Source organism: Homo sapiens, chromosome 6 (genome assembly GCF_000001405.40).
Source record: "Homo sapiens chromosome 6, GRCh38.p14 Primary Assembly".
In the NCBI taxonomy this organism is placed as follows: Eukaryota; Metazoa; Chordata; class Mammalia; order Primates; family Hominidae; genus Homo; species Homo sapiens.
In genome coordinates, this window is record NC_000006.12 from 67,253,569 (window position 1) to 67,263,868 (window position 10,300).

Here is a 10,300-nt window from a genome sequence, read left to right on the forward strand (position 1 = left end):
CTCCACCATGTGAGCATACAACACGAAGGTATCCATCCATCAACTAGAAGGTGAGTTTTCCACAGATCTGAGATCAACTGACACCTTGCTTTTGGGCTTCACAACTTCCATAACTGTGCGACATAAATGTTTGTTGTTTAAGACACCCAATGTATGGTGATTTGTTATAGCAGCCCAAACTAAGACCCTCCCATCAAAGAGATCTAGGTGTAGTTGGATCAAACTATGGAGCAATTTATGTTTCAAAAAACAATTGTCAAAAAACAATACGGCATATACACAGTAATATGTATGCTTACATAGGTAAACATCATATACACCTTTTATAGACATAACAACATTTTAAAAATTCAAAAATAAATTACAATATTTATTGAAATTGAAAGATATTATTTAAAAAATAAAACTTTAAAAAACTTAATTTGAATAAACAAACAAACAAAACCAGTAGATCTATTATCTGGCAATTGTTGGAGACTAAGAGCAGAGTGTAATACCTACAGACAGATCAGCTGAAAACAGGGAGATCAGGGAAAGAGACAGTCAGAGAGAACCCCATGAAAACCACTGCTATCCCATGTAGATAGTGACAATGTGTTAGACTAAAATGGCTAAATGGCTAAATCTGAGCTTGTTTGACCTAAAAAGGAAATATGTAAAAGGTTTGGGACAGCTTTTTTAAATTTTCAGTAATTTCATCAATTGTCTCTTTCATTGAATATAAGGGCAAAAGTACGTCAAAGAAGCATTTGTTTGGAAACACAAATTTTGGTTTAAAAATCTCACAATAAGCAAAGCTGTACATGATAGAATAAGCTATTATGAGGAGAATGTACAAGAAAAGACTGACTGGCAAGCTGCCACTGATACTGTAGAGACGATATTTATAAAATGAAAAATCTATTCTGTCTATATATTTTCAGTATAAACATCTAAGATTTTATTATTCAAGTACCTTTTTATAGTTAGATCTATTTTGACACACAAGAGGTTTGAATAATATAATACTAGAGTCTTATAAGAAGAATGCATTTATTTGCTCTTCCAAATCAATAGATAATTATTGAATGGAAAGCGCTGAGGAAAGTGATAAAATAGTTGGACACGTGCATACATTCATATACTTTGGAATATATAGTCAAATGTTAAGTCAATGTCACCAATATAAGCAAAAGTCTAAGACTAGAAGCATTTGGTTATCCTGTTTTATCTTGTGGTATTTTTTTCTAGATAATTTTATTTTTAATTATTTTTACAACTTAGCCTTCTCTGAATGATGTCTGGTTGTGAAAGTGTTATTTAGTTAAACCTCCATTCTGCCTGTCAAGGCCCAATGAATATATACTTACAGTAAAATGTTATTTATAAGAGAACCTATGTTCCAGTCTTTGCATTGTTTTGTTGCACTGACTTTTAGAGAAAATAAATAAAACACAGTTATGACATAAAAACGAAAGTATAACTAAAGACTACTTATCTTCCTATATCCTTAGGTAGATACATTCTACTGATCCTAATTGTGTCATAAAAAAATTCTTTGTGATGAGAGAAAAAGGTTTTTTTGAGAGCCTAGGCAATTTGAAATAAGTTGAAAATATATCTTGTCACGACAAGGCTTGTGCTTGATTGCAAATGCTTATTTGAATACACGTTCCAAAAGCCCCCCATCTCCTCTACCAGCATGGGAGTCAGCAAGAAGAATAAGGAAAATTATTTTAACCCAGTCCTCCCTAAGCCACTCACATAGAACAATACAATTAAACATTATTACTACTATCCATGCTATAGACATTATTACCATTACTAAACCATATTACTCGATTATCCAAGGTTCATAAATAAAAATGTGAACCACTTATTGGATGTGTTGGACAAAGGAGGTAATAGAGATGCCAATCACCCCACTCTTTAATCTCCAACCAATTGATCCAAGATAATGTAAGGCCATGGGCCTAATGGTCTCCTTCAGGAACAGTGCAGACAGTGAAAAGTGCTAGTGTGTAGGACTCTTTGAATACAGAGAAATTCAGAGAGACTTGTAGGGATTTGGTGGGTTTTGAGAGAAAGCAGGGTAATCTCTCAATAAGGTACATTAAAGGATTGCAAAACCTCAGGGGAAACACCTTACACTTGGCTAGGGTTATTTTACATTTTTAAATTGGGCAATAAGAAAAAAAATATTTTCTAGGAGATATAGATAGTAACGTGTTACTCTCACTTTTTTCTGTATGGATAAATAATATAACATGTTATTCTCACTTTTTTGTGTATGGATCAAATAATATAACATTATTACATCACCATGTTAATTATATTATATCGGTTTTGCCTGTGAGACAAATGTATCTGTTTATATGTATTATAGTTTAATTTTTTGTATGAAAGTCTTAATTTTGAGTTTGGCTTTCATGAAAATGAATGTGTTTTTAATATTTCTTATAAATTCTCATAAGGGGGATATTTCTTGATAGTTACTGTACCCAGTGTTAATGATACTATTTTATTTGAGACCGTTTTATTGTAAGAAGAAGATTCACTCTTTTCTTTTTTTGTTGTTACATTAATTATTTTTGGCAACTAAAAGAGGCAGTCATCTCACAAAGTCTAGGAAAGGGAGTATGTCTTCTAGATTGTGACCCCTCAAATGGACCCCTCAAGTGATTTTGGGTGTCCTTCCTGCTGCCCCACTTTGTGAGGGCATCTGGTTCCAGACCCAGTCCCTCCTAATCTGATTTCCATTTACCTGTTGAGCTTGGAACATCTGTTTTGGAATTGCCAGAATATCCTGAATTATTCACAAAAGTGTTCTTGAGGGGGAAGCATTAATAGAGCTCCCTGGAGAGCCATGACTTCTTTCTTCCAAAGGTCTCTCTTTAAAAAAAAAATAATTTAATTAATTTTAAGTACCGGGATACATGCTCAGGATGTGCAGATTTTGTTACATAGGTAAATGTGTGTCATGGTTGTTTGCTGCACCTATCACCCCATCACCTTGGTTTTAAGCCCAACATGCATTAGCTATTATCCTGATGCTCTCCCTCCCACTGCCCCTCTCACAGGCCCAGTGTGTGTTGTTCCTCTCCCTGCGTCCATGTGTTCTCATGGTTCAGCTCCCATGAATAGGTGAGAACATGTGGTGTTTGGTTTTCTATTCCTGTGTTAGTTTGCTGAGGATAATGGCTTCCAGCTCCATCCATGTCCCTGCAAAGGACATGATCTCATTCCTTTTTATGGCTGCATAGTATTTCATGGTGTGTATGTACAATATTGTCTTTATTCAGTCTATCATTAATGGGTATTTAGGTTGATTCCATGTCTTTGCTATTGTGAATAGTGCTGCAATGAATATACACCTGCATTTATCTTTATAATAGAATAATTTTTATTCCTTTGAGTATATACCCAGTAATTGGATTGCTGGGCCAATTGGTTTTTCTGATTTAGGTCTCTGAGAAATCTCCACACTATTTTCCACAATGGTCAAACTAATTTATATTCCAATCAACAGTGTAAAAGCATCCCTATTTCTCCACAGCCCTGCCAGCATCTATTGTTTCTTGACTTTTTTTTTTTAAGCTATCATCTTGACAGTTGCCCTTTAATTCATTTTTAGGCGTGACCTTGCACAACATGCAAGAAAACAGAACAAAGATGTAAATGGTGGTGTTCCCATGTATAAGATCTCTTTGGATACTTGTTTGCCCCTGTAAAGCCGCAGCCCGCAGCTAAAATATGTAAGATTCAGTTAAAGTAGTGTTCTCTTTACTTTCTCTTATTTTATAATTTTTTATGACAAAGCACCAAGAATAAAAATTTTGCAGGAAAACACACATTCCTTAAATAGAGAATATTTTTACAGAGTCTGATTTTTCTAGAATATAATTTACAACACTATGGTAAAATTCATTCCGTTCTCTGATATTGAAAAGGATAATTTCAATCAAAACAATTAATGTTCAAGATGACAAATGAAATAGTCTGTCATTCTCCAGCGCATTTTTTTCCCTACTTATTCCGTTCTTGGGAGACTTAGCATCAATCACTATATGATGATCTTCTCTTCTTGCCATCTGAACATTTTGCAGGAGTCAAATGCATGTTTTGCAACTTTGGTTTTAGACTTTGGGGTCCAGTTAGCCAGTCTAAATACTGTGTTTTCGTTTTCTGTTATGTTGGAATGCCACAATGGCCCATTACTTCTGGTATTCACATCTTCGTGTAGTACACTCTTCTTGAATATGAGGTGGGCCTGAAACTCGCTTTAATCGATAGAATGCAGTGGAAACATTGCTGCCGTATTTCAGACCTAAAACTTAAGAAGCCCTGGCAGCTTCTGCTTTTGCATTCCTGGGAGCCCCAGCTTCTATGTAAGAAGTGTGGCATCTCTGCTAGAGACACTGTGTGTTAAGGCCACGTGAAGAGAACCTATAGAGAAACAGAAACCCTTAGACTACTGGAAGACAGCCAATGAGCCCGACTAAAAGAGAAAATTTAAGTCCCAGACACGTGACCCAAGCTGAGCCATTTTGAGCTACATACATGTCTGAAGCATGTGAGTGAAAAAGCCATTTGGACATTGTAACATCAGCATATCACTCCCCTATGACATCATGAGAAATGATGAAAGAGTAGTTCTTTTAAGCCCTTACATTTTAGGATGATTTGTTACACAGCCACATGTAATCAGAATATTTCTATTCCCTTTACTGTCTTTGCATGTTAAAGAATAATATAGGATTTATTTTTCACAACTAATAATACATGGGGCCCTCTCCAATCCTGATATTCTGTTTTTCTCTAGCAGTTCTGGCCTCTACTCAGTCTTTCAAATTGAGACTTACTAAAAGACAGGTTAGTATAAATTCCAAGAAAATAACTCTTCCTCTGTTAGTGGCTTCAAGTCTTTTTTTCTTTAAAGAAGGGTTTTATATGATTATCTGGAAGCATTGGCTATTCTTTCTTGAAGCAAAGATACTTTTTCATATTTCTCTTATTTTTGACTTCCTGGTGAAGGAGAACAATATACAGATTCTAAAAGTTCCTAAGTGAGGCTGAGAGAAAGAGAAAAGAACTTGAACTTGGCAAAACATGCCCCAATCTAGAAAACAGAATTTCCTTGGCATCCTTTGATCTTCCTAGGTTTTAGGTAAGGACTCAGATGATACTTCATTTATTCATCTCATTTATTCATTCACTGAGGTTTCAACAAACTTGCAGAGAACTCTACGATGTGTCGAAATACTATTTAAATATCTGTTTCTTTTTTTAAAACCTTTTAGTAACTACTTAAATATAAAGTAATCAAGTTCAAGAACCATCTATTTCTCCAAGATCCCTTAAAGTGAACTGGATTTCTTTTAATCCATGAAAGTCATGACGTTACTTTTTATTATTATTATTGTTATACTTTAAGTTTTAGGGTACATGTGCACAATGTGCAGGTTAGTTACATATGTATATATGTGCCATGCTGGTGTGCTGCACCCACTAACTCGTCATCTAGCATTAGGTATATCTCCTCATGCTATCCCTCTCCCCTCCCCCCACCCCACAACAGGCCCCAGAGTGTGATGTTCCCCTTCCTGTGTCCATGTGTTCTCATTGTTCAATTCCCATCTATGAGTGAGAACATGCGGTGTTTGTTTCTTTGTCCTTGCGATAGTTTACTGAGAATGATGATTTCCAATTTCATCCATGTCCCTACAAAGGACATGAACTCATAATTTTTTATGGCTGCATAGTATTCCATGGCGTATATGTGCCACATTTTCTTAATCCAGGCTATCGTTGTTGGACATTTGGATTGGTTCCAAGTCTTTGCTATTGTGAATAGTGTCCCAATAAACATACGTGTGCATGTGTCTTTATAGCAGCATGATTTATAGTCCTTTGGGTATATACCCAGTAATGGGATGGCTGGGTCAAATTGTATTTCTAGTTCTAGATCCCTGAGGAATCGCCACACTGACTTCCACAATGGTTGAACTAGTTTACAGTCCCACCAACAGTGTAAAAGTGTTCCTATTTCTCCACATCCTCTCCAACACCTGTTGTTTCCTGACTTTTTAATGATTGCCATTCTAACTGGTGTGAGATGGTATCTCATTGTGGTTTTGATTTGCATTTCTCTGATGGCCAGTGAAGATGAGCATTTTTTCATGTGTTTTTTGGCTGCATAAATGTCTTCTTTTGAGAAGTTCCTGTTCATATCCTTTGCCCACTTTTTGATGGGGTTGTTTGTTTACTTCTTGTCAATTTGTTTGAGTTCATTTTAGATTCTGGATATTAGCCCTTTGTCAGATGAGTAGGTTGCGAAAATTTTCTCCCATTTTGTAGGTTGCTGTTCACTCTGATGGTAGTTCCTTTGGCTGTGCAGAAGATCTTTAGTTTAATTAGATCCCATTTGTCAATTTTGGCTTTTGTTGCCATTGCTTTTGTCATTTTAGACATGAAGTCCTTGCCCATGCCTATGTCCTGAATGGTAAAGCCTAGGTTTTCTTCTAGGGTTTTTATGGTTTGAGGTCTAATGTTTAAGTCTTTAATCCATCTTGAATTAATTTTTGTATAAGGTGTAAGGAAGGGATCCTGTTTCAGCTTTCTACATATGGCTAGCCAGTTTTCCCGGCACCATTTATTAAATAGGGAATCCTTTCCCTATTGCTTTTTTTTCTCAGGTTTGTCAAAGATCAGATAGTTTTACATATGCGGCATTATTTCTGAGGGCTCTGTTCTGTTCCATTGATTTATATCTCTGTTTTGGTACCAGTACCATGCTGTTTTGGTACCAGTACCATGCTGTTTTGGTTACTGTAGCCTTGTAGTATAGTTTGAAGTCAGGTAGCGTGATGCCTCCAGCTTTGTTCTTTTGGCTTAGGATTGACTTGGCGATGCAGGCTCTTTTTTGGTTCCATATGAACTTTAAAGTAGTTTTTTCCAATTCTGTGAAGAAAGTCATTGGTAGCTTGATGGGGATGGCATTGAATCTATAAATTACCTTGGGCAGTATGGCCATTTTCACGATATTGATTCTTCCTACCCATGAGCATGGAATGTTCTTCCATTTGTTTGTATCCTCTTTTATTTCATTGAGCAGTTGTTTGTAGTTCTCCTTGAAGAGGTCCTTCACATCCCTTGTAAGTTGGATTCCTAAGTATTTTATTCTCTTTGAAGCAATTGTGAATGGGAGTTCACTCATAATTTAGTTCTCTGTTTGTCTGTTATTGGTGTATAAGAATGCTTGTGATTTTTGTACATTGATTTTGTATCCTGAGACTTGGCTGAAGTTGTTTATCAGCTTAAGGAGATTTTGGGCTGAGACAATGGGGTTTTCTAGATATACAATCATGTCGTCTGCAAACAGGGACAATTTGACTTCCTCTTTTCCTAATTGAATACCCTTTATTTCCTTCTCCTGCCTAATTGCCCTGGCCAGAACTTCCAACACTATGTTGAATAGGAGTGGTGAGAGAGGGCATCCCTGTCTTGTGCCAGTTTTCAAAGGGAATGCTTCCAGTTTTTGCCCATTCAGTATGATATTGGCTGTGGGTTTGTCATAGATAGATCTTATTATTTTGAGCTACATCCCATCAATACCTAATTTATTGAGAGTTTTTAGCATGAAGCTTTGTCGAATTTTGTCCAAGGCCTTTTCTGCATCTATTGAGATAATCATGTGGTTTTTGTCTTTGGTTTCTTGACTTTTTAATAATCGTTATTCTGAGTAATATGAGATGATATCTTATTGTGGCTTTGATTTGCATTTCTCTAATGATCAGTGATGTTGAGCTTTATTGCATATGTTTGTTGGCTGCATAAATGTCTTCCTTTAAGCAGTGTCTGTTCATGTCCTTTGCCCACTTTTTAATGGGGTTGTTTGTCTTTTTCTTGTAAATTTGTTTAAGTTCCTTGTAGATTCTGGATATTAGACCCTTTTCAGATGATTGCAAAAATTATCTCCCATTCTGTAAGTTGTCCATTCACTCTGATAATAGTTTCTTTTGCTGTGCAGAAGCTCTTAGTTTAATTAGATCCCATCTGTCAATTTTTGCTTTTGTTGCAATTGCTTTTGACATTTTCATCATGAAATATTTGCTCGTGCTTATGTTCTCAATGGTGTTGCCTAGATAGTTTTAAGTTTTACATTTAAGTCTTTAATCCATCTTGAGTTAATTTTTGTATAAGGTGTAAGAAACGGGTTCAGTTTCAATTTTCTTCATATGGCTAGCCAGTTTTCGCAACACCCTTTATTAGATAGGGAATCCTTTCCCCATTTGTTTTTTGTCAGGTTTGTCAAAGATTAGATGTTGCAGATGTGCAGTCTTATTTCTGAGATCTCTATTCTGAGATCTCTATTCTGAGATCTCTCTCTGATTTCTGAGATCTCTATTCTGTTCCATTGGACTGTGTGTCTGTTTTTGTACCATGCTATTTTGGTTACTGTACCTTTGTAGTATAGTTTGAAATCAGGTAGTGTGATGCCTCCAGCTTTTTCTTTTGCCTTAGGATTGCCTGGGCTATAGGGGCTCTTTTTTTAGTTGCATATGAATTTTAAAGTAGTTTTTTTTCTAATTTTGTGAAGAATTTCAATGGTGGTTTAATGAAAATAGCATTTAATCTATAAAATACTTTGAGCAGTATGGTCACTTTCATCATATTGATTCTTCCTATACATGAACATGGAAGGTTTTTCCATTTGTTTGTGTCTTCTCTGATTTCCTTGAGCAGTGGTTTGTAGTTCTCCTTGAAGAGGTCCTTCACTTCCCTGGTTAGGTATTCCTAGGCATTTTATTCTCTTTTTAGCAATTGTGAATGGGCGTTCATTCATGAATTGGCTCTCTGCTTGTCTAATGTTGGTGTCTAGGAATGCTTGTGATTTTTACACATTGATTTTGTATCCTAAGGCTTTGCTGAAAATTTATCATCTTAAGAAGCTTTTGGGCTAAGTCAATGCAGTTTTCTAGATATAGACTACTGTCATCTGCAAATAGAGACAGTTTGACTTTTTGTTTTCCTATTTGAATATGCTTTATTTATTTCTTTTGCCTGATTGCCCTGGCCAGAACTTCCAATACTAGGTTGAATAGGAGTGGTGAGAGAGGGCATCCTTGTCTCATGCCAGTTTTCAAGGGGAATACTTTCTTTTTTTGCCCATTCAGTATGATATTGGCCGTGGGTTTGTCATAAATGGCTTTTATTATTTTGAGATATGTTCCATCAGTATCTCATTTATTGACAGTATTTAACATGAAGGAATGTTGAATTTTATTGAAGGCCTTTTCTGCATCTATTGAGATAATCATGTGGTTTTTGTCTTTAGATCTGTTTATGTGATTAATTATGTTTATTGATTTGTGTATGTTGAACCAGCCTTGCATCCTGGGAATGAGGCTTACTTGGTCATGGTGAATAAGCCTTTTAATGTGCTGTTGGATTTAGTTTCCAGTATTTTATTGAGGATTTTTGCATCCATGTTCATCAGGAATATTGGCCTGAAGTTTTCATTTTTGTTGTATCTCTGCCTGGTTTTGGAGTCAGGATAATGCTGGCCTCATAAAATGAGTTAGGAAAAAGCAACTCCTTCTCAATTGTTTGAGATAGTTTCAGAACAAATGGTGCAAGCTCCTCTTTGTACCTCTGGTATAATTCAGCTGTAAATCTGTCTAGTCCTGCGTTTTTTTTTTTTTTTTTTTTTTTTTGGTTGGTAGGCTATTTATTACTGTCTCAATTTCAGGACTTGTTATTGGTCTATTCAGGGATTCAACTTCTTCCTGGTTCAGTCTTGGGAGGGTGTATGTTTTCAGGAATACATCCATTTCTTCTAGATTTTCTAGTTTATTTGAATGAGGTGTTTATAGTATTTTCTTATGGTTGTTTGTATTTCTGTGGGATCAGTGGTTGTACCCCCTTTATCATTTTTTTATTGTGTCTATTTGATTCTTCTTTCTTTTTTCTTTATTAGTCTATTTAGGGGTCTATCTATTTTATTTTATTTTTCAAAAAAATGATTCCTGGATTCACTGGTTTTTTGAAGGGTTTGTCCTATCTTATCTTCTTCATTTCTGCTCTGATCTTGATTATTTCTTGTTTTCTGACAGCTTTGGGGTTTGTTTGCTCTTGATTCTCTAGTTCTTTTAGTTGTGAGGTCAGGGTGTCCATTTGAGATCTTCCTAACTTTTTACTGCGGGTATTTAGTGCCATAAATTTCCGTCTTAACACTGCTTTAGCTGCATCCCAGAAATTCTGGTACATTGTCTTTTTGTTATCGTTAGTTATAAAGAATGTCTTGATTTCTGCCTTAATT